Here is a 24,356-nt window from a genome sequence, read left to right on the forward strand (position 1 = left end):
TTCAAGTTCAAAGTTCTAAAGGTCTCTAGGTCAGGGACAAAATGTCTCTAGTCCCTTTGCTAAAGCATAGCAAGAGTCACCTTTACTCCTATTCCCAGTAAGTTCCTCATCTCCATTTGAGACCATCTCAGCCTGGACTTTATTGTCCATATCACTATCAGCATTTTGGTCAAAACAAAACGACAAATTTTTAAGAAGTTCCAAACTTTCCCACATCTTCTTGTCTTCTTCTGAGCCCTCCAAACTGTTCCACCCTCTGTCTGTTACCCAGTTCAGAAGTTGATACTTTCAAGTATTTTTATAGCAGTGTCCCAATCTCCTGGTACCAATTTTCTGTCTTAATTTTTTTTTCACACTGTTATAAATAACTACATGAGACTGGGTAATTTATGAAAAAAAGAACTTTAATTGACTCATAGTTCTGCAGGCTGTGCAGAAATCATGGCTAGGAGGCCTCAGGATACTTACAACCATGGAGGAAGGTAAAAGGGAATCAAGTACATCTTACAATGGTGGAGTAGGAGAGAGAGAGAGAGAGAAGAATAAAATGCCACACATTTTTAAATTATCAGATCTCATGAGAACTCATTCACTATCATGAGAACAGCAAGGGGGAAACCCTCCTTATTATCCAATCACTTCCCACCAGTTCCCTCCTCCAATTTGACATGAGATTAGGGTAGGGACAGAGATCCAAACCATACTACCTACCCGAGTTTAAATTGTTAGTAGATGACATAGCTGTAGCAAAAATCCACATTCTACTAAGTAACCTCTGTGGTACTACTCTGGCAAATGGCTTGTATGATCAATTGATGCACATTTTTTTTTATGGATGCTATGATTATAATTCATTTATAGTAAAGCTTTATTATTCTAGGAGCTGCTATTTAAATTTAAGGTAATTTTACCTCTTTTATAATTATGTGTGGATTGGCTTTTTGCAGGGAAAGACATGTAATCAATTTCATAGGGACAACTAATTGTAATCACTTTAAATCTTTCAAATATAAAACAAAGCTTCACAATTTCAGATTTGCTGACCCATTAAATAAACATTTTATAAAGGTTGATTTTTGTCTCTGAAAAAACTGAACATTACCTTTCCAAATATTAAAATGTGAAGAAAATATTAATGGACTGAAAATAGGTTAGCTTCTTCCAGGCTACCAATTTTCTTCAATTGCAATATTTTAACAGCTTTTTATTTTCTATTTTAGTACCCATTCTTGACACCTTCAAAATGATCACCCATGTTGCAAAATGTCTAGAAATGAAAATCATAGAATGTCACGTCGCATCTTAAAACTTTCTCAATTATTTTTTAAGAAAAAAAATCCATTATTCTTAAAATGATCTAAAACATCTTGCTTCATCTAGCTCCTCACTACATCTCACCATGTGCCACAATCCCCTTAATTCTTATGCTTTTCTATTCAGGTTCTCAAACATAGGTTTTCTCCTGACTCAGAGACATAGTTATATTCCCGCTTTTTTTTTTCCTTTTTTTTTTTTTTTTTTGAGACAGAGTTTCACTCTTGTCACCCAGGCTGGTGTGCAATGCTGCAATCTCGGCTCACTGCAACCTCTGCTTCCTGGGTACAAGTGATTCTCCAGCCTCAGCCTTCTGAGTAGCTGAAATTACAGGTGCCTGCCACCACGCCCGGCTAATTTTTGTATTTTTGGTAGAGACTGGATTTCGCCATGTTGGCCAGGCTGGTCTCGAACTCCTGACCTCAGGTGATCCATCCACCTCGGCCTCCCAGAGTTATATTCTCTTGTCTGCAATATTATAAACTCAAATATAGTCTAAATAAGTTAAAATTCTTCTTCATATCTGTTATTAAACATGACTTCCTCTGCAAATTCTTTAGAGATATGTAGCATTGACTTAACTCTTTTTGCTTTTTATACTGCTATATAATTATATACCTTGTAATCAACATTTACTCTGTTTTTATATATGTATAACTGCTTTTGCTTTTGATTTTTGTATTTACCTTTAGGCTAAATATTTTCTTTAAAAAGATACATTGTCTAGTACATTATTCCCAACAGCCACCATATTGCCCGGCATAATGCATTTTGCTGAACTAAATAGTTCTTCTATTCAAAAGAATAGTGGGCTCAGGATCACTGAGTAGCTGGAGTTGTCACCCTAGATGACATGACCATGGTATTTTAAAATATTGAAAACTGTCTTTGTATGTGTATGAGGGAGGTTGCTCTATTTTACATTCTATCAAACACTATATTCATACTAAATTATTGAAACGTTTCCTAAATTGATTGAGTTTTAGTATCTTCTTAAATCTCTTTACAGAAATATTCTATACAGGATCTGGGAAATGGAGAACTCAATGAAATAGAAACAACAACAAAAACAAACCAAAAAACAAATTTTACTGTGTTCTCCAGAACTTTTTTAAAAAGGGCTTTCATAGGTCCTGGTGAGGTGACTCACACCTGTAACCCCAGCACTTTGGGAGGCAGAGGCAGATGGATCACTTGAGGTCAGGAATTCAAGACCAGCCTGGCCAACATAGTGAAACCCTGTCTCTACTAAAAATATAAAAACTAGCCAGGTGTGGTGGCATACACCTGTGATCCCAGCTACTTGGAAGTCTGAGGCAGAAGACTCACTTGAACCCAGGAGGTAGGGGCCTCAGTGAGCTGAGATCACACCACTGTACTCCAGCCTGGATGACAGAGCAAGACTCTGTCTCAAACAAAAGGAGGGTTTTCATAGAATTTCATCAGTATCTTTACTGATATTAATTGGGGTAACTCAAAACAATAAAATATGGTTGACAGACCTTGATATTACTCCTGTCTGAGCCAGTTTATGTGCATAAAAACATAATGATAACATAAATATCCAACATTCAGCTATGTAAGAAATGTGCAGGTGGGATAGGGAGTTAAAAATCAGAAATAAGCATAGATAGACATAGATAGTGAGGACTAAACTCTGATTTTTTATCTTGCCCAAGCTCCTACCTAAGGGGCCTACGGAATCATGCCCGGCAAACCATAAATTCTCATCAGGTGGGTTTTATTTGACCCTATCATGACTTACTTTTCAATCTAACTCTAGCATAACATTATGACAGAAGAAAAAAATATTTAACTTCAAAATATTTTCTTTTGCCATACCTTTAAATTGCCTTGCAAAGTATCTTGTGGGAAATATCCATATTCTACAGAGAATCTTCTTTCCCCTTTGTTTTCCTTCCTTTCTTTGCAGTTCCAGAAGATAACCAACTAAGAGCCAGGCACCCATTTAGGTCTGATAAGAAACATTTTACAACCTGCCCTCTCTCTAAAGTCTGGTATCTGAGAGGCTGCTCTGCACAATAAAACTTTGTCTCCACAATTCTTTACCTTAACCTAAACATTCCTTTCCATTGATCCTAGGTCTTCAGATAAACTCAACCAATTGTCAACCAGAAAGTCTTTAAATTGATCTATAGCCTGGAAGCCCCCACTTTGAGTTGTCCCGCCTTTCCGAACAAAACTAATGGTTTTCTTAAATGTATTTCATTGATGTCTCATGCCTCTCTAAAATATATAAAACCAAGCTATACCCCCACCTTGGGCAAATGTTGTCAAGGACCTCCCGAGAGCTGTGTCACAGGCCACGGATATATTTGGCTCTGAATAAATCTCTTCAAATATTTTACAGAGTTTGACTCTTTTCATCGAGAATAATCTGGCGCCCAAACACATGGAGCCTCAGAGAAGAATCAGGACCCCAGAGGAGTTGCTTGAAATGGGAGCTAAGGTACTAGCAGGGGCCCAATGAAGGCCAACCGAGTTCAAGCTTCTCCTCCAGTGAAAATGGTTAGTCCTCTTGAACCCTGGACTTCCCTTTGGTTGACAGTCCTTGGTTTATTCTAAGCTTTTTTTTTTTTTCCTGGGAAGGTGTTGTTTAAGGATCCTAATTCAAGTTCAGAGATGCATTTCTAAAGAGTCTTCTCAATTGCTTTTCTCTCGGAATTAACTAAGAATAAAGAGAAAACCAGGAGAATGACCCCCCTTTAGAGCACTCTGTAAGTTTAATGGCACCTCTACTTGAAGTAATATGGTCTTTGTGCACAGTTTACATTAAGGCCAAAGAGTCCTAAGGTCGACCTGGAAACTATAGAGTTTCTAAGTTCTCATTCTCTATTTTCTTTCCTGCATGCTTTAAAACTGCTATTACTTTTCTACTGAGATAAAAACCACTGTTCGGAACTAACAGTGTTTTTTGAAACCTGGCAAAGTTGAATATATCTCATGGCTAAAGTACTGAAGTAATAGCTATGGGAAGTTTCTGTTTGTATGTGTGTGTATGTATTTAAAGACCTTTATAATAGACTTCTATAATGTTATGTTCAATTGGCAATTGAATCTATTTTAATTTCCCTCTAGCACACCAGACTTTCTCCCCATACCTTATGATGTAAATTCTGCTCTCTGATCTTCACCTGAGTTGTTTCCTTTAATATGCAAATTTAGGGCTACTTAGCTGACAACTGCCTAGGGTGATGTAACATATTATCAAGAACTTCCAAAATAGAAAATAAGTGGGAAAAGGAAGTCTTTCATGAATCTATAAAATACTTCTATCAGCATGCTTAAATACGTCTATTTATTTATGTCTGTGTACACAATATTTTCACTACTAAAAATATATGAAGAGCTCTAATTAATTGGCTTTAAAAAAAGAAAAACTAGTCAAATGATTTTTCAAGTTCACGTGACTTAAGTGAAATCTTTACTAAATAAGCAGGCTTTAAAATTATTAGTAAGATAATATCAGCAATGTCTTCAGAATGTTAGCATTTTGTTTGCATCTATTGATCAAGTGGTTCCCTGTTTATTTCTGCAAAATACTATAAGATTTGCCATAAGGGTTATAAGCTATAAAACCCAGCCCAAGACAGAATAATCTTTGCTTGTATATGCTTATGAAATATTGTTGGCTTAAATGAAAACAGCTAAATGCTGAATTATTGGTATAAATACCTGAGATGAGAAGTCTTCTCCCTATCAAAGGTCTTTTCTCAATTGAAGGGATCGTGGCCTCACAGGCTTCAAGGAATGAATCCGTGGACCGCGGTGGTGAGTGTTACAGCTTGACTGGAGAAACGCGTGTACCCAACGAGTGTGCGGTGGCAAGATTAAAGTGAAAGCGAAAGTAAAGCGAAAGCGAAAGTGAAAGTAAAAGTAAAGTTTCCACTTGGAACGGGACCTAGAAGGGTTGCTGTTTCTGGCTTGGGTGTCTTATGCTTATATCCCCTTATGACCTTTCCTTTTTTCCTTTTTCTGTCCTATAGAATTAGCTTATTTTCAGTCCGCTTGTGGGTTTGCGGGCCTGATTAGTTAAAAACGTCAGGCTGCAGCTAGAGCTTAAACTCCCTGTATGATTGGTTGAAGTTTCAATCCACAGCTTGCATCTGTGACTCATTTTGGCTTAGGGGAAAGTCCTTTTTGATTGGTTGAAGTTTCAATCCCTTAGCTTGCAGCTATGACTTATTTTGGCTTATGGGAAAGCCCCTTCGGTAAGTCCATATTGACCCAGGAAGTCCAGCCAACTTAGCCACTTAGTCCCTCATACCCTTAAAACTAACCAACCGTAAGTTTTTTTACTTAAGTAAATACCTGAAATTCACAGCTACAAAAATGGTTAGTAGAAAAATAACTTTAAATATTGGCTATCACAGTTTTTTTTGTTTGTTTGTTTTTTGAGAGGGAGTCTTGCTCTGTCCAGGCTGGAGTGCAGTGGCGCGATCTCAGCTCACTGCAAGCTCTGCCTCCCAGGTTCACGCCATTCTCCTGCCTCAGCCTCTCAAGTAGCTGGGACTACAGGCGACCCCCCACCGCACCAGGCTAATTTTTTTGTATTTTTTTCTTAGTAGAGACAGGGTTTCACCATGTTAGCCAGGATGGTCTCGATCTCCTGACCTCGTTTTTTAATAAATAATCTAGGTAAAGTATAAAATTCAATCAGGTAAATGTAATGGAATAAATGCTTGTAAACTAACTTGTCCTAGTTTAGGATCTAAGGTTATTAATTGACATTAAGTATCTGGGCAATTTCCAATTTAAGAATTATAGAAAAACATTTTTTAATGTTCCTAATGGTAAAATATTGTTAAAAACAGTGTTTTTAGGCAGATAGGAAAAGGGGTTTGGAAAGTTTTTGTTTCATTTAAAGTAGCTCCAGAAATGTTTCTTGTCTATCAGGAAAGCCCTGGCTCTTAGAGCCAGGCCAGCAAGCTTTGATATGCAAATTCAAGTCATTAGAAACTGGGTCCACCCGAACATAGCTATTCCCGCTGTCTTTTCCTTGTTCACACATGTGCCTGGCAACATGGCCACCCCCACATATCCCCATGTGTGTAGAACATCACAGCGCCCTGTATTTGCATATTAAAAGGCTAAGGTGAGAGGGCCAGTTTTTTCACGGGCTACATGAATGACATGCCTGATCAAACCAATCCCCTGAGCCCTATGCAAATCAAACACTACCTCCTCCAGCCTCCACATATAAGCAGCCACTTTTCCACCCCACACAGGTTTTTCTCTCTATTCGAATCCACCCTCCCTTTGTTTCTGTACAGGGGAGCTGTTTTCTTCTTCCGTCCTTTCTTGCCTATTAAACTTTTTGCTCCTTAAAACCATTCCACGTGTGTCTGTGCCCTTTTATCCAAACTGGTGCAAGACCAAGAACCCAGGTGTTCCTCTACTCGTTGGAGCTGTATCAATATCTTTGTCTAATTCAAAGCTTATTTAAGTGTTATATATGAAACAAGGTAAAATAAATCAGTAAATAAGAGAGATATAAAGAAAGTTATAAAAATAAAGAGGTATTTTTGGTAAAAAAAAAAAAAACAAAAGGCTTAAAGAAAAGTAATTTTATATAAGAAAGAATCTTGTGTGGTAAATTTTTGTCCTAAGATTAAAAAAATGACAGAGTTATACAAAAAGAAGGGATATTTTAAACAAAACAGTATAAACATGTTGTGAATGAACTATGTAAGTCATAGTAAGGTCAGTAAGAAGGAATTTTTAAGAGGGATTGCATAACTCAGTTGGCTATGATTAAGAAGATATTATAATAGTCTTTCTAGAAATGGGTCTTTGATATTAAAAATACACAAATACTAAACTAAAAAATTAGTTAAAACAAGATTTTTATTACAAATATTTAACTTTTAATGCAAAATTTTTAAATTTTTGTATTCTATAATCTGTTTTATTTAACATTCTTCAGATTGATATCTTCAGATTGATATCGAAAAGGCCTTGAATGATGGCTCTCTCCTTCATATTTTGTTGCCTCCTGTAACTTTTACTAATTATCTAAAGTAGGTGAGAAAATGTTTGAAAACAGGCAAATAAAATACCTTTTGGACCTGTCTTTTTTTCTACATGCCTGTTATATCTCTATCTTTATATGTGTTATGTAGAAATGATATTTTATTAAAAAACTACATGAAAAACTATTAATTAGCTTAATAAATGTAAATGCTTATCAAATTGGCAAACACTAGCTCAGATGTCTTTTAATTCACATGACCTTGGTAATCTTTGGTAAAAATAAATTTGGTAAATTTAATCTCAAAACTCTCTCCAGTAATTTAATACCTTAAAGTCATGTTAAAACCTCAGTTCCGTGACCCCCTCCAATGGAAATTTGGGTAACTAAAAGTTAAAATAATAGGAGCATAAAGTACACTTTGGGTAAAATTTTATAAAACACATGGATGTCAATTTTCAAAAAAAAAATGTAAGGGTTTTGGTTAAGGAACTATTTAAGAGTTGCTTTATAATGAAGGAAATTATACAGATAAAACTAAATGAAAAAAAAAGAAATCTAGGGCAAAAAAACTCTGAGCCCTATGGTTACCAAGAAAATAGTTGATATGGGGGAATGGCAAAATCAAGTAACTATTTAAAACCAAAGGGTGTAATGTAAAGGAATTGTTCCATTTTGTAAATTGGTTTCATTCAGCTTTGAAAAACAATAACTACAACAACACCCAAAAATCAGAAAAAACCTTTACTATAGTGGATTTTGGATTGTAAAAATAACCACTTTAAGGGCAAAATTCTTAATTTTAAATGCTATAGAATTTAGAGCTTGTTTGGATTAATGCAGGACCCACAGCTCATTCATGAACAATGACTGAGTATATGTGATCCAAATGCACAGGGTGTTATCCTGAGAAAGCAATCAGCCTTGTGGGCCAGATAAATCCATTATAAGATCTGTCTTTCCCAGAGAAGGGGACTGCCCAACCCTCCCTATAAAATACCAAGTGAAGTGCCCCAGATGAAGCAGTTGATATGTTTCATATGCAAGCCATGTTGGACTAGGCTTTATGATAACTGGAATATCTTCCCAACAAATATGTCTATTACCCAGGACATGGTAAATTTGGGGATTAAGAGGGCCCTTTTACATGGGTGCCCATCCCACAGAATCACAGGTCTGTGTAAGAAGACTTATCTAATCTGCTTTCCTTCATAGGTCTTACAGATGCAACTCCCTGCTGGGAACCCAAACCCGTTTCACCAGAAAAGGTAAAAATGGTCTGGGGGTAAAAAAAGGCTTCCTGGGACCAGAACATAAAAACATACAAGATAATAGAATTATAAAATGTAAGATGTTTAACAAGCTTTATATAAGGTAATTGTAGCCCCTTTTATCTAAATGTCTTATGAAAATGGGTACTATATCTAACTGGGGGATGTTTTCCCCTTTCTAGTACTATAAAACTAAAGACATTTACATCTGCTCATGTAAATCCTCCACTGCATAGCCTTTTGTGTGGAGCATTTATGGAGGTGTTGGCAAAACTGTGAGTACTTTTCAATAACAACGACTGAGCTAGAGAATTTCTACTTGATGGGACATTTACTCCCTTGCTACAGAATATTAACTGAAGCTACCCCTATACTGATGGAAATAATGTTTCCCAAAAAGTTCCATGATGAAATAAAATTGATTTACATAAAATATTGCTACCTTATAAGCAGAGAGCATTTTTTCTAGGACTAATGGGGAAAAGCTGCTAAATTCTATAGCGTCTAATAACTCTTATGAGCTGTTTGGTTTATAAATACCATTTCCAAAGTAAACAAACGTCTTGTCTTAAAAGCTGCTACTCTGATTAAAGGGGGGTCATAAAAATCTTTTTCTTTTTCGTTATTTGGGTAAAGTATGTTTATGTAAGCAAATTTACCTTTCTGAGTCCTCCAAAATTCAGATTGTAATTTTATGTAATATAGTTGTCTGCATAACTATATGTAATATAGTTGTCTGCATAAGTTCAATAATTTTTTTTTTAACAATTGGAGACATTGTTTATTTTTCCAAAACTGAAACTAAAATAGCTTATTTTTAGGTAAATTTCAGCAAAACCAACTTTAAAGGAGTCTATATGGCAAGTCAATTATTTGCTGCATTTTATGCAAATAATCAGGCAAGCATAAGCCTAAAACTAAATTTGCACACAAATTGTTCTTCCTATAATATTCTCTTTAATAAAAAATGCAGCTAAAAAATTGTTTCAAGGGTAAAACGTAACATTTAATAATAGATTTTAGGCCTAACTTTTTGAGTAGAGTAAATCATTATTTCTTGGCTACAATAATCCTCTAGAAAGTACCAGATTTTAATTTTTCCTCATGTTTTTAGTTGGTGCCCTAATAGAGTAGGTTCCTTTTTCTCTTCTGACATACAAATTACTCTTAAAATTGTCAAACAATGATTGTTATTTATCTTTTTGTTTTACTTCCAAGGAAACAAAAATCATAGTATTCTGAAAACCAGAGACACAAATCTCCCTCATTTGGCATCCCACTGGGCCCAGATCCGTTTCACTGCTAATGCTCTGCTACTAGAACTATACAAGCTACCTCCCTCTAGGCCCAGGGACTATTGCAGAAGAGGTGGGCGTGTAAGATTGTAAGGGCTGGTGTTGAGGGATAAGCTTAGGACAAGATCAAACCCTCCAAATCAAGAAATGGGTACAAAAAATGCCTAAACAGCTGGCAAAACAAGGTTAGTTGTCTTCTAAAGTACAATGTGTCACTTTTACATCTACCCCAACCATAAAAATTTTTGGCTTACTATAAAATTAAAGGAAAATATGTACTAACAGCATAAAATACCTTGTAACAAAGCCTCTTGGGATAATACTGCCAATTATGAGTTGTGAAGATAAATCTATCTAGGTATATATGTTTTTTTTTTATTTTTCAAAACAATGTTTCTGTTTTGTATAGCTAACTATAAGTCTATAACAAAAACCAAGCTCACAGCAGCTCAACACATAGAAGTTAAAAAGAAGTCAGTCTTGTAACTTTTCCTTTTGGTTTTTCTGTCAGTCTTTTTACTTAAAATAATAATTTTAAGAAGTAACAAATGCCTGTCCACATCCATTCCTGTCTGGCCTAGAACAATTAATTGGCTATAAGTCTTTTGACACCTAAGGCACACAGCCATAGGGAATCCTGCCAAAGAAAAAATGACACTTTAGAATTATATGACTTTTAATGTGACAAAACCTTTTCTCTCCCAAATACCAGTATATGGTGCAATACAACAGTCAGGGGAAAATAGATTTGTCTACTGTTAACAAGTCTATAAAAATTGAGACACTGAGGACAAGGTGTTTCTTGCTTTTAATTTATACTTTCCTCAGGATGCTATACTTATGGAGATAAATTGGCTGGAAAGGAAATTAACTTTTTAAAATTCTAATTTAACATTGTTCTAACAATTCTCAAGTAAGTTTTATCACAACATCCAAATAACCCTTGATAAGGAGGGTAAGCATATTGTGAGTCTTATCAAAGAGTATGATGACACATGCCTCGGGTTTATGGCTGCTTAAGTTGTTTACTGCCTTCTGACTCTACCTATTACCTTCTTGGATGCCTAATCCTTGCTATCTTTATGGTATTTGTCAGTGTATTAGCATTATATATCTCTTATAAATGTTATGCCAGATAGAGCAGAAGGAAAGGCAAAATTAAAGACCTAGATCATGACAGCTCAGAAAATAGATCTGATCCAGGATTTTTTTTTTTTTTTTAGATTAAACCCTAGGCCTGACTCCATCTAACCCATTAAACAATTGGCTATTACATCAGTTCAAACCATGTCCTCCCCCCAGTATCCAAATCACTAATATTTAAAACTATTACCATCAACCAGGCTACTCTAAGAATGAGCCTTCCTAGCACCATAGGACCTCACCAAATGGCCAGATCAGACAACTCTAGGAATGACCCTTCCTAGTGCCATGGGATCTGATGTTGTTGGCCTGCATACACATTCTGTGGGATGCTTTTTGGCCATGAGTGGGGACTGAGGACTCAGCTCTGATTTTTTTATCTTGCCCAAATTCCTACCTAAGGGATCTAGAGATTCATCCCCTACAAACCATAAATTCTCATCAGATGAGTTGTATTTGAGCCTATGTATCGTGACTTACTTTTCAATCTGACTCTGGCATAACATTATGAGACAAGGAAAAAATATTTAACCTCACAATATATTTCCTTGCCATACCTTGACATTGCCCTGCAAAGTTTCTTTTGGGAAAAATCCACATTTTATAGAGAATCTCCTTCTCCTTTTGTTTTCCTTCCTTTCTTTACAGATCCAGTAGGTAATCAACTAAGAGCCAGGTACCCTTTTAGGTCTAATAAGAAACATTTTACACCCTATTCTGTCTCTAAAGTCTGCTGAGAGATTCCTCTGCACAACAAAACTTGGTCTCCACAATCCTTTACCTTAACCCAAACATTCCTTTCAATTGATTCCATGTCTTCAGATAAACTCAACCAATTGTTAATCAGAAAATATTTAAATTCACCTATAGCCTGGAAGCCCCCCTGCTTTGAGTTGTCCCACCTTTCTGAACCAAATCAATGTTTTTCTTAAATGTACTTGATTGATGTCTCCCTAAAATCTATAAAACCAAGCTGTACCCTGACCACCTTGGGCACATGTTCTCAGAAGCTCCTGAGGGCTGTCTCATGGGTCATGGTCACTCTTATTTGGTTCAGAATAAATCTCTTTAAATATTTTACAGAGTTTGACTCTTTTAATCGACAAGAACTAAATTTAAACTCATTACATGTGGGAGCCAGTCCAAGACTTAATTCTTAGTTCATCCATGTAAGTATTATAAGACTTTTACAACTGCTAGTTTTAGAGCTAATTTATTTTGAGAAAACAGCAAAGAATTACCATGTAGAGGTGAAAATAAATCTAAGAAAAAACACAGATTTGGAAATTACAGGGGATAAAAAAGAGCCTGCATTTGAAGTAGAATAATAAAATGCTTGAAAAATAAAGAGCTGTAGAAGGAAGAGAGGAAGCTGATGTTTAAGTTCTCTGTTTTAAATGTTTAAATGATATACTTTAAAAAGGGCTAGGCTCAGATAGAAACATTATTGTGCAAAAAGTTTTCATTAATCTGACATTCTTCCTCCTCAGATCTTGGACCCTGATTGTAGAAAAATACATAATTATACTGACTACTTTTATTTTAAATTTGACCGCAAATCCACTAAGCTCTCAATGCTAACTTACTACGTTTCCTTTGTCTACTAATCTTCTGCTCTCCTATATCACTCTTTTATACTCTCATACTTTTTTCTTTCTTTCTTCTTTCCTTCCTTTCTTTCCTTCTTTCCTTCCTTTCTTTCCTTTCTTTCTCTTCTCCTTTCTTTCTCTTTCTTGCTTTTTCTTTCTTTCTTTCTTTCTTTCTTTCTTTCTTTCTTTCTTTCTTTCTTTCTTTCCTTCTTTCTTTTCTTTCTTTCTGTCTCTTTCTCTCTTCCTTTCTCTATCTATTTTATTATTTATTTATTTTTACAGACTGGGTCTTGCTATGTCACTCAGACTGGACTTTAACTCCTGGGCTCATGCAATCCTCCTGCCTCAGCTTCCCGAGTAGCTGAGATTACAGATGTGTGTCAGTGCTCCTGGCTACGCACCTCTCTCTAAATCCTCGATATTCTCTCCCTACTCCTTATGTTAAGTGGTACTACTTGTTTTCTTATCTTTGAGACTCTAAAGACAATTAAAAGAGAACTGTCATGTGCATGTTTCCACACACTCAGGACAGACTCAGCTTTCTCTTCTGTTAATACAGAGGGACTATTGGTTCTTCCTGCTAAGGAAATCTTACCTATTTTTGTGCTCAGTCCAATACTCTCACTTATTCCATCATGACCCAGAAAATGGTTCTGTCTTCCATAAGTTCTTTTTCTACACTGATTCCTTCTCATTAGATTATTCAATAGCAAATAGGATGTACTCATTCATTTATAAAGCAAACAAAAAACAAAAAGATCTTCTTTGTCATCATATATAACCTTTCACTACCTTCTGCCTAATCACCCTAACTTTCTTTGCCCATATTTATTTTTCTGTTCCTCAAATACATTCGGCATGCTGCTACCTCAGGACCTTTGCACATTCTCTAACTTCTACTTGGGATTCCTTCCTCTTGACTGCTATATAAATCTGCTTCTAGATCACTGTCTTTTTCTTCAGGTCTTTCCTGAAATGTCATCTTATCATGAGGTCTTTTATAAAACCTTATTGTTTTCTAACTCTGCTCCTGCTGTATCTTCTCTCCTAGCCCTTATCTTTCTCTGACATATTGCCTATTTATTGTCTGGCTTTTTTGCTGTAAGGTGAGCTAGTTGAGAATAGAATTTATTTTTTTTAAGTTTAATGATAAGTTCTAGTTAAGGAAATATAAAATAAATATATAAATATAGACACAGAAAGTGACAATAAAAGTAGAAATATGTTGTCAAAATGTTAATGGCACAGTGGAAAAACTACCAAATAAGGACAAAAAACTCGGCCAGGCGCGGTGGCTCACGCCTGTAATCCCAGCACTTTGGGAGGCCGAGGCGGGAGGATCACGAGGTCAAGAGATAAAGACCATCCTGGCCAACATGGTGAAACCCTGTCTCTACTAAAAATACAAAAATAGCTGGGTGTGATGGCGCACGCCTGTAATCCCAGCTACTTGAGAGGCTGAGTCAGGAGAATCGCTTGAACCCAGGAGGAGGAGGTTGCAGCGCGCCAAGATTGCACCACTCCACCCTGGGTGACAGAACGAGACTCCATCTCAAAAAAAAAAAACCTCATTATTTATACATATATAGCCAATTTAATTAAGTTGCTATTCCAACTCAATGGAAAGTGCTACTCCAAGTTAGTGGAAAGCTGGCTAGAAACGGAATTTAAAACAATAAGTTTAAAGCCAGGCATGGTAGCTTATGCCTGTAATCCCAGTACTTTGGGAGGCCAAGGCAGGCAGATCATGAGGTCAGGAGTTCAAGACCAGCCTGGCCAATATGGTGAAACCCCATCTCTACTAAAAATACAAAAATTAGCCAGATGTGGTGGTATGCACCTGTAGTCCCAGCTATTTGGGAGGCTGAGGCAAGAGAATCACTTGAACCCGGGAGGCAGAGGTTGCAGTGAGCAGAGATGGTGCCACTGTACTCTAGCCTGGAGCCTGGATGATGCAGCGAGACTCTGTCTCAAAAAAAAAAAAAAAAAAAAAAGAAAGAAAGAAAAACAAACAACTCAATAAGTTTAATAAAATTCAATTCTAATTTGAGTATAAGAAAATAGAAATTTCATACATAGTTGTTATGAATGTTAACTGGAAAAGCCTCTTCGAAAAGCAATAGGTAGTATCTACGTAATATTTCTTTCAGTCAACACAGTCCACCTTTGCAACCCTATAATAAAGAAATACAAATGTTTCTAAAGATATATTTGAAATATTTAAATATTTAAAAATAGGATGTATATACATGTGTGAATTACACAGTTAGAAAATAATTAAAAATACATACATTGAAGCTGGTTGTATGCCTATAGTTCCAGCTATTTGGGAGACTTGAAGTGGGAAGATCACTTAAGCTCAGGAGTTCAAAGCTGTAGTGTGTGATGATCATACCTGTGAATAGTCACTGCATTTGAGCCTGTGCAACAGAGTGAGACCCATACTTCTGAAATAATAATGATATTAAATAAATAAATGCATCTAAAGTAAGAAAGAAGGACTGAAGTGAAGAAAGAAGGAAGAAAAGAGAGAAGAAATGAGGGGAAAAGATTAATTATATTCTAGTTGTGGTATATTATATTTTTAGTCATACTCAAAAATTCCAGGGCAGCCCAGTTCCTCTTTGCCTCGATAAGGATGACCATCTCTTCATACACTATACTGGTATGATGGGCCAAAGCCAGGTGTACAAAAGCCAAGCTGTACTTCAACTTTTGGCAGCTCTGAGTGGACTTTGTATATAGAAGTGTCTTTGTTCCATAATATTAAGCTCTTGGCTGTGCTCACTGCCCTTTTCAGTCCAGAGCAAGGGTTTCCAGGAGGGAAGTACAACAGACATCCAGATTATTTGGCTAATATCTGCTACCAGTCTGTGTGAAGAGCTGGTATGCTCATGTCATGGACCCTCCAGTTATGTTATCCAGTCTGATGCTGGGAAGGTTGTGCCCCTGTTCAACCTCTGGAACCTAGCATAGGAATTCAGTAGAAGAGACTGAAAAAAACAACAACAGCAACAAAAAACCTGCTGAATATGACTGATGGAAAAGATCAAAGCAGCAAAACATTCATTTGCAATAATAAAAAGACTTTTAATGCCTTTTAAGACCTTCACTGTTTAAATTAATGATTGACATTTTGTATCATTACCTAGCAATGAATTAAAAACATCAACTTTAGATGTAGGTGTCAGCAAGGTTTATTTGTCAGGGTTTTCCAGAGAAACAGAACCAATAGGATGTGCATGAACATAGAGTTTTATTTTAAGGAATTGGCTCATGTAATTTTGAAGGGTGATAAATTAAAAATTCTGCAGGGTGTGGCCAATGTGGTGGCTCACACTTGTAATCCCAGCACTTTGGGAGGCCAAGGCAGGCAGATCACCAGGTCAGGAGTTGGAGACCAGCCTGGCCAACACAGTGAAACCCCATCTCTATTAAAAATGCAAAAAATTGGCCGGGCATGGTGGCAGGGGCCTGTAATCCCAGCTACTCTGGAGACTGAGGCAGGAGAATTGCTTGAACCCAGGAGGTGGAGGTTGCAGTGAGCTGAGATCACGCCACTGCATTAGAGCCCAGATGACAGTGCGAGACTCTCCATCTAAAAAGAAAAAGAAAAAAAAAAATCGCAGGGTGACCTGATTAGCTAGAGATCCTGGAAAGAACTGATGTCATAGTTTAACTCCAAAGGCTATCTTCTGATAGAATCTCTCCTTGCTTGGAAAGAGGTCATTCTTTTGTTCTATTCAAGGCTTCAACTGATTGTGTAAGGCATAACCACATTATGTAGGGCAATCTGCTGTACTCGAAGTCCACCAATTTAAATGTCAATCTCATCCATAAATGCCCTCAGAGGAACATTCAGGATGTTTGACGACATTTCTGGGCACCATAGCCTAGCCAAGTTGACACATAAAATTAACCACACAAAAGACAAAATTAATTTACAGTCTTAGCTGTAATGACTGTGATAGCTTAAAAAAAATAAGCTAAGTATCCTTAAACAACCTAAAGGATTTATCTCTATACACTATTATTTAAAATGCTGGACCAGCTAGAATTTACAACAGGTTATATAAAACTTATCTCAGAAAACGAAAATCTACAGTGCTAGTCTCAAATCCAGTAGCGATCCTATGCATACTAAATGTAAAGCAGAGACTATGTTGTATTTATGTAGCTTATGAATATAAACTTTCATTTTATATTTTGCTTCCTCTAAAATGACATAAAGTCTTAGATTAAGAGGCACTATGATAGCAGATTTTTCCAGATGGAAGAGAATGGCATAATTGATTATTTGCTGCATATTAAAAGATGATATTTTAGACAAATTGCTATCCACTTATTTTCTCCAGTAGGAGCTACAACTTGATTTAAAACAAGATTTTAAATGTATAGTTGCCGGCTATGTAAGTAACAAGGAAAATAGCTATGTAATAAATGTGAGATTTGGTGTTTTATGCAGATTCAGTTTGTAAATCTCATAATATATTTTGGGCTTATGTTTGCAGTAGAATAGTAAAAAGATATATATTCCACCAAATGGTATTATAAATTATATAAGTCAAATTCTCCATTTTACATATGAGGAAATTTACCACAGAATGGAAGTACTTTCCTTGTTCATAAACTTTTCATTGACAGAACAAGAACTAGTATAATAATCTCCTGAAATTAATCTCCTGGCTGCAGAGAAATTAACTACAATTATTCATTTTCTTAGTCTATTTTGTGTTGCTATAAAAGAATATGCAAGACAGGGTAACTTATAAAGAAAATAAGTGTATATGGATCACAATTATGGAGGTTGGGAAGTCCAAGATTGGGCAGCCCATCTGCTGATGTTCTCACTGTGTTTAAACTCATAGTGAAAGCATAAGGAAGGAAATGGGCATCTGCAAAGAATCCAAGCAAGAGAAGGAGCAACCGGCTTGTGAACTCACTCCCTTAAGACAGCATTAATGTATTCAAGGGGATCTGCCCTGTGATCCAAACACCGCCTACTAGGTCTCACTTCCCAACACTGCCACATTGGGAATCAAATTTCAACATGCGTTTTGTCAGCGACAAATCACTTCCAAGCCATAGCAACCACGTACCCACAAATAAGAGTCGTAATCTATTAGGGTTTTTCTTAAGTTGATCATTTTTTCTGTATATAAAGTGACACATTTCAGAATAAATTAGTATGATTTAATCCTGTCTCAGTGACTATTCTTTCTTTTATCAAAATGGTTTATTATGATAAATGTAGTGGTCATATTTCAAATGCATTGTTTACCTTTGCATACACTGTATATATAGAATCCTCAAAAACATATGGTATTATGAAATTTTTATATTTGCATGTGCAATATCATATAACATTATTATACAGTGTGCTTTTACCACTCAAAATTATGTTTCTGAGTTCTACATCTATCTATATCTATGTATGTAAAGATTGACCTATATGTGATATTGTTCTACAAATAGAATTTTTCTATTTTCAGTAATTTATTATTATGAACATCATGCTATAAACATTCATATGCCTTTCTACTTCTATAAAGTTGCAAGAACTTCTCTGTCATTTACTCAGAAGTAGTGTTTCTGGTCTTTATAGTAACTTTTATTTTTTATTTATTTTTTTATTTCCATAGTTTTGGGGGTACAGGTGGTTTTTGGTTACATGGATGAGTTCTACAGTGGTGAATTCTGAGATTTTAATGAACCCATCACCCAAGCAGTGTACACTGTACCAAATATGTAATCTTTTATTTCTCACTCCCCTCTCAACCTCTGACCTTGAGGCCCCAAAGTCCATTATATAATTCTGTGTGTCTTGGACTCATCAAAGCTTAGCTTCCACTTATAAATGAGAACATATGGTATTTGGTTTTCCACTCCTGAGTTACTTCACTTCAAATAATGGCCCCAGCTCCATTCAACTTGCAGCAAATATTTCATTCCTTTTTATGGCTGAGTAGTATTCCATGGTGTATATACACTACATTTTCTTTATTGATCACTCATTGGTCAGTGGGCACTTAGGTTGATTCCATATCTTTGCAATTGCTAATTGTGCTGCTATAAACGTGTGTGCATGTGTTCTTTTCATACAATGACTTCTTTTCCTTTGGATAGATACCCAGTATTGAGATTTCTAGATCAAATGAAAGTTCTACTTTTAGTTCTTTAAGGAATCTCCATACTGTTTTCCATAGTGGTTGTACTCATTTACATTCCCACAAGAAGTATAACAGTTCTTCCTTTTCGCCAAATCCAACAAATATCTATTGTTTTTGACTTTTCAACTGTGGTCATTTTTGCAAGATTAAGGTGATATTTCATTGTGGTTTTAATTTGTATTTCCATGATAATAAGTGATGTTGAGCACACTAATGTGTTTGTGTATCTTTATCTTCTTTGGATAAATGTTTGTATATCTTCTTTGGAGAAATGCCTGTTCACATCCTTTACCCACTTTTTGATAGGATTATTTGCTTTTTTTCTTTTGATTTGTTTGAGTTCCTTATAGATTCTGGATACTAGTCCTTTGTCATATGCATAGTTTGCAAATATGTTCTCTCATTCTGTGGGTTTTCTGTTTACTCTGCATAGCAAAATAAATATTTTTTTTCTATGCAGCAGGTTTATAGTTTAATTACGTCCCATTTATTTATTTTTGTTTGTGTTGAATTTGCTTTTGGGGTCCTAGTCATTAATTATTTGCCTAGGCCAATGTTCCAAAGAGTTTTTTCAAAGTTATCTTCTACAATTTCTATGGTTTCAGGTCTTAGATTTAAGTCATTGATACACCTTCAGTTGATTTTGTATAAGGGAAAAGATGAGGATCCAGTTTAATTCTTCCACTAGTGGCTTGCCAGTTACCCAGCCCCATTTCTTAAATAGGGTTTCTTTTCCCCCGTTTATGTTTTTGTATGCTTTGTTGAAGAACAGTTGGCTGTAAGTATTTGGCTTTGTTTCTGGGTTCTCTTTTCTGTTCCATTGGTCTAAGTGCCTGTTTTTACACCAGTGTAATACTGTTTTGATAACTGTAACTTTGTAGCATAATTTGAATTCCAGTAATGTCATGCCTCAAGATGTGTTATTTTTGCTTAGATTACTTTGGCTATTGGGGCACTTTTTTAGTTCCATATGAATATTAGAATTGTTTCTTCTACTTCTGTGAAAAATGGTGATAGGATTTTGATGGGAATTGCATTGAATCTGTAGATTTCTTTGGGGATAGTGGTGATTTTTGCAATATTAATTCTTCCCATCCATAAGCATGGGATGTGTTTCCATTTATTTGTTTGTGCCATCTATGATTTATTTCAGTAGCGTTTTGCAGTTTTCCTTGTAGAGAACTTTCACTTCCTTGGATAAGTATATTCCTAGGTATTTGTGTTTTTTTGCAGCTTTTGTAAAGGCGATTGAGTTCTTTATTTGATTATCAGCTTGGTTGTTGTTGGTGTATAGCAGTACTACTGATTTGTGTACACTAATTTTGTAACCTGAGACTTTATTGAATATGTTTATCAAATCTAGGAGCTATTTGGATGAGTCTTTAGGGTTTTCTAGGTATGTAATCATATCATCAAAGGACAGTGACAGTGTGACTTCCTCTTTTTTAATTTTGATGCCCTTTATTTCTTTCTCTTGCATTATTTCTCTTCCAGTGCTATGTTGAATAGAAGTCATGAAAGTGGGCATCCTATTCTTTTTCCAGTTTTCAGGGGGAATGCTGTAAACTTTTATTCAGTCAATACGATGTTGGCTGTGGATTTGTTATATACAGTTTTTAGTACTTTGAGGTAAGTCCCTTCTATGCCTACTTTGTTGAGAGCTTTTACCACAAAGGGATACTGGATTTTATCTACTGCTGTTTCTGTGTCTATTGAGATAATTATATGGTTTTTTGTTTTTAATTTTGTTTATATGATGTCTAGTTTCCTTTTTGTTATGTCCTTTCCTGGTTTTGATGTTAGGGTGAAACTGGCTTCATAGAATTCTTTAGGGAGAGTTCCTTATTTCTGTATCTTTTGGAATAGTTTCAGTAGGCTTGCTACCAATTCTTCCTTGAATGTCTGGTAGACTTCAGCTGTGAATCAACCTGGTTGTAGACATTTTTTTTCCTTGGCAGTTTTTTTATTACTGATTCAATCTCACTGCTTGTTATTGTTCTGTTCAGGATTTCTATTTTTTCCTGGTTTAATGTAGGAGGATTAGATGCTTCCAAGAATTAATTCATTTCATCTAGATATTCTAGTTTGTGCTTTTAAAGGTGTTCATTGTAGCCTTGAATAATCTTTTGTATTTCTGTGGCATCAGTTGTAATGTCTCTAGTTTCATTTCTAATTGAGCTTATTTGAATCTTATCTCTTCTTTTCTTGGTTAATCTCCCTAAAGGTCCAACACTTTCTTTTATGTTTTCAACAAACCAGTTTTTTTGTGTGTCATTTATCTTTTGTATTTTTCCAGTTTCCCTTTCATTTAATTCTGCTCTGATCTTTGTGATTTTTTTTTTTCTTCTCCTGGCTTTCAGTTTAATTTGCTCCTGTTTCTGTAGTTCCTTGAAGCGTGACAAGAGGCTACCATTTGTGCTGTTTCAGACTTTTGGATATAGGCATTTAATGCTATAAAATTTCCTCTTAGCGTTGCTTTTGCTGTATCCTGGAGGATTTGATAACTTGTGTCACTATTATCGTTCATTTCAAAGAATTTTCTAAATTACTATCTTGATTCCATTGTTAATCCAAAAATCATTCAAGAGCAGATTATTTAATTTCCATGTATTTGTATAATTTTGAGGGTTCCTTTTGAAGTTGAGTTCCAGTTTTATTTCCCTGTGGTCTGGGAAAGTACTTGATATATCAATTTCAATTACCTTAAATTTATTAAAACTTATTTTGTGGCCTATAATATGGTCCTATCTTGGAGAATGTTCCAAGTGCCGATGAGAATGTATATTCTACAATTCTTGGGAAGAATTTCTGTAAATATCTGTTAAGTCCATTTGTTCTAGGGTATAATTTAAGTCCATTGGTTCTTTGTTGACTTTCTGTCTTTATGATCTGTCTAGTGCTGTCAATGGAGTATTAAAGTCCCCCACTATTATTTTTTTGCTGTCTGTCTCATTTCTTTGGTCTAGTAATAATCTTATTAAAAATCTGGGAGCTTTAGTGTGAGGTGCATATAAATTTAGGATTGTAATATCTTCTTGTTGGACTGATTCTTTTATCATTATATAATACCCTTCTTTGTCTTTTTATACTGCTATTTCTTTAAAGTCTGTTTTGTCTGATGTAAGCATAGCTTCTCCTACTTAATTTTTATTTGTGTTTGTATAGAATATCTTTTTCTATTCTTTTGCCTTGAGTTTATAGAAATCCCTATGTGTTAAGTGAGTCTCTTGAAGAAAGAGGAAATTTGGTATGTGATTTTTAAAAATCCATTCTGCCATTCTGTATCTTTTAAGTGGAGTATTTAGACCATTTATATTCAATGTTAATATTGAGATGTGAGATACTGTTAGATTCATCATGTTAGTTGTTACCTACTTTGTGTTTTTTTTTCATTGTGCTATTATTTTATAGACCCTGTGAATTTTATACTTTTAGAAGGTTCTATTTGGTTTATATTGAGTTTTTGTTTCAGGATTTAGACTCATTTTAACATTTCTTGTAGAGTTGGTTTGGTAGGGGCAAATTCCCTCAGCATTTGTTTGTCTGAAAGATCTTTCTTGCTGCTGCTTCAACTTTTATATTTCTCACTGCTCCCTCAATCAGTTCTAGCCCTGGGTAGGGTTAAGGTCTTCTCCCTTGGCCTGAATTCTTAGGTTCCCTGATGGAAATGTATATCCTAAAGGCAGTCTCTCTCCCTCTCACACTCTGAGGACTTATAGATTTTTGCCTGTCTCATGGAGTAAGCTGCAGCCTGGCGCTGCCTTCAAAAGGTCTGTGGATTCTTTTTTTTTTTTTTTTTTTCTGTTAAGTTCTTGCATTGAATCTTATACTGTGAATCTCTACACACTATTTTGTCTGTCCAAGTGAGAGAGGCATGCTAACACTGCCTGCAATCTGCCATCCTGGAAAAAAAACAAAACCAAAAGCTTTACATTAAAAATGAATCCTACCAAAAATATCTCTAAGGTGGTTGTCAAAAATTTGTATTTTCTTCATTAATCCACATGCTTGCCAAAATTAATATAAGCAAATAATTTATTATTTGAAACACTGATGATATTGTCTTGTGTATTTTAACTTTTTTCATATATAATATCTAATATACATATAATAAAATGTGTATGTCAAAATCATAGTTTGCTTAATTTGCACAAATTGAACACACGTGTGCAACCAACAATCGTAACTCAGATTAGGAAATAAAATTCTACCACTATTTCAATTACCACCTCATGCTCCCTTCCAGACACTACCTATCTCAAATGTCACCATAGTCCTAGTTTCAAGTAAATTTATTTTACCTAAATCATTCTTTAGATAAATTGTGGCTTACAGTCAATATTCTATTGTGTCTGACTTCTTCTGCTTAGCATTTTGTTAGTGAGATTAATCTTCATAGTTGTACACAGATAATGTATTCTAAGTTTTGGTAGTCATGTTTTACAGCATTTCATTGTATCTATATACCCTATTTTATTTATACATTCAAATTTGATGGGAATAAAGTATATTTTGGGGAAGTGAGTGCTATTATAAATAGTATAGCTATAAGCTTTTTAGTAAATATAATTTAATTAACAAGTGTATTAATTCATTTTGTGTATATATCTTCAAATGCACTTAGGGGGCCACAGGATACACATATGTTCAATTTTAGAAGATAACGAAAAATATTTTTCCAGAATCATTGTTCAAATGTATACTCTCACCAGCGGTGTATAAAATATTGGATGTACATATCCCGGACAAAACTTGGAATTGTCATTCATTTTCATTTTAGCCATTCTTGTTTGTGAAAATTTATATCATTTCACTGGTGGTTGATGGAGTTAAACATCTTTTAAAAAGATGCTTATTGTCCATTTAAATATGCTTTAATGTGAAATACTCATTTCTTCTTGCTGCTTTTTGGATCATTTAGCATTTTCTTGTTCATTTGTTGTATAAAATAAATCGATATAAGTACAGTGACGATCTTTCATTAATTAGTAGCTTGTCTTTTTCTTCCTTAACTGTAATTCTTGAAGAACAAGTGTTCTCAATTTTATTATAGCCTGTGTTTTCCTATAACAAATTGTGCTTAGTGAAACATGTTTTAAAACTATCTATCCCACATTATTATCATAAATCTATTTTTCTATAGCCCCCTCTAAAATATTTATTGTTTTAATTTTATAATTATATGTGCAATCATTTTGAATATAATCAATAATATAACTTAGAATATATGAAATAAACATTGATGGAAATAAATTAAATACAGACATTCCATAATTCTGGTGGTGGGACTTCAACACATTTTCCTCAACAGCTAATATTACCAGTCAAAATATCAGTGTGGCTGTAAAATGTGTGAACAAAACAATCATTAAATTTGACCTAATAGGCATTTATGGAACACTTTGCATAATTACATTCTTTTCAATTGTTTATGCAACATTTACGACATTGACTTATAAAGAAAATGACCAATTTCAAAATATTAAAATCCTTTGTGTTTTTTCAGAACTTAAACAAAAATCGGATTTAAGCTAAAAATAAACAAGTAGATAACCAGAAAAAAATCCAATTTGCAGAGTAAA

At 35.0% G+C, this 24,356-nt stretch overlaps 1 long non-coding RNA gene across 1 annotated transcript, besides 4 other annotated features; it reads left to right on the forward strand.

Moving 5' to 3' along the window:
* Positions 3,833-4,341: an enhancer, noted in NCBI's record as "OCT4-NANOG hESC enhancer chr5:25567928-25568436 (GRCh37/hg19 assembly coordinates)". NCBI's record gives its function as "activates a minimal SCP1, AML or CMV promoter by ChIP-STARR-seq in naive H9 embryonic stem cells {active_cell/tissue: H9 hESC(naive)}" and the evidence as "EXISTENCE:reporter gene assay evidence [ECO:0000049][PMID:30033119]".
* Positions 4,342-4,848: an enhancer, noted in NCBI's record as "OCT4-NANOG-H3K27ac hESC enhancer chr5:25568437-25568943 (GRCh37/hg19 assembly coordinates)". NCBI's record gives its function as "activates a minimal SCP1, AML or CMV promoter by ChIP-STARR-seq in primed H9 embryonic stem cells {active_cell/tissue: H9 hESC(primed)}" and the evidence as "EXISTENCE:reporter gene assay evidence [ECO:0000049][PMID:30033119]".
* Positions 4,849-5,356: an enhancer, noted in NCBI's record as "H3K27ac hESC enhancer chr5:25568944-25569451 (GRCh37/hg19 assembly coordinates)". NCBI's record gives its function as "activates a minimal SCP1, AML or CMV promoter by ChIP-STARR-seq in primed H9 embryonic stem cells {active_cell/tissue: H9 hESC(primed)}" and the evidence as "EXISTENCE:reporter gene assay evidence [ECO:0000049][PMID:30033119]".
* On the forward strand, positions 5,838-17,801 carry LOC124901175 (uncharacterized). The gene is made up of 2 exons (XR_007059126.1): positions 5,838-8,574; positions 17,473-17,801. It is a non-coding gene; the product is annotated as an uncharacterized LOC124901175 (long non-coding RNA).
* Positions 6,032-6,578: an enhancer, noted in NCBI's record as "NANOG hESC enhancer chr5:25570127-25570673 (GRCh37/hg19 assembly coordinates)". NCBI's record gives its function as "activates a minimal SCP1, AML or CMV promoter by ChIP-STARR-seq in naive H9 embryonic stem cells {active_cell/tissue: H9 hESC(naive)}" and the evidence as "EXISTENCE:reporter gene assay evidence [ECO:0000049][PMID:30033119]".
* Positions 17,802-24,356: the final 6,555 nt, after the last annotated feature.

The sequence above is a fragment of the Homo sapiens genome, chromosome 5 (assembly GCF_000001405.40).
Source record: "Homo sapiens chromosome 5, GRCh38.p14 Primary Assembly".
NCBI lineage: Eukaryota > Metazoa > Chordata > Mammalia > Primates > Hominidae > Homo > Homo sapiens.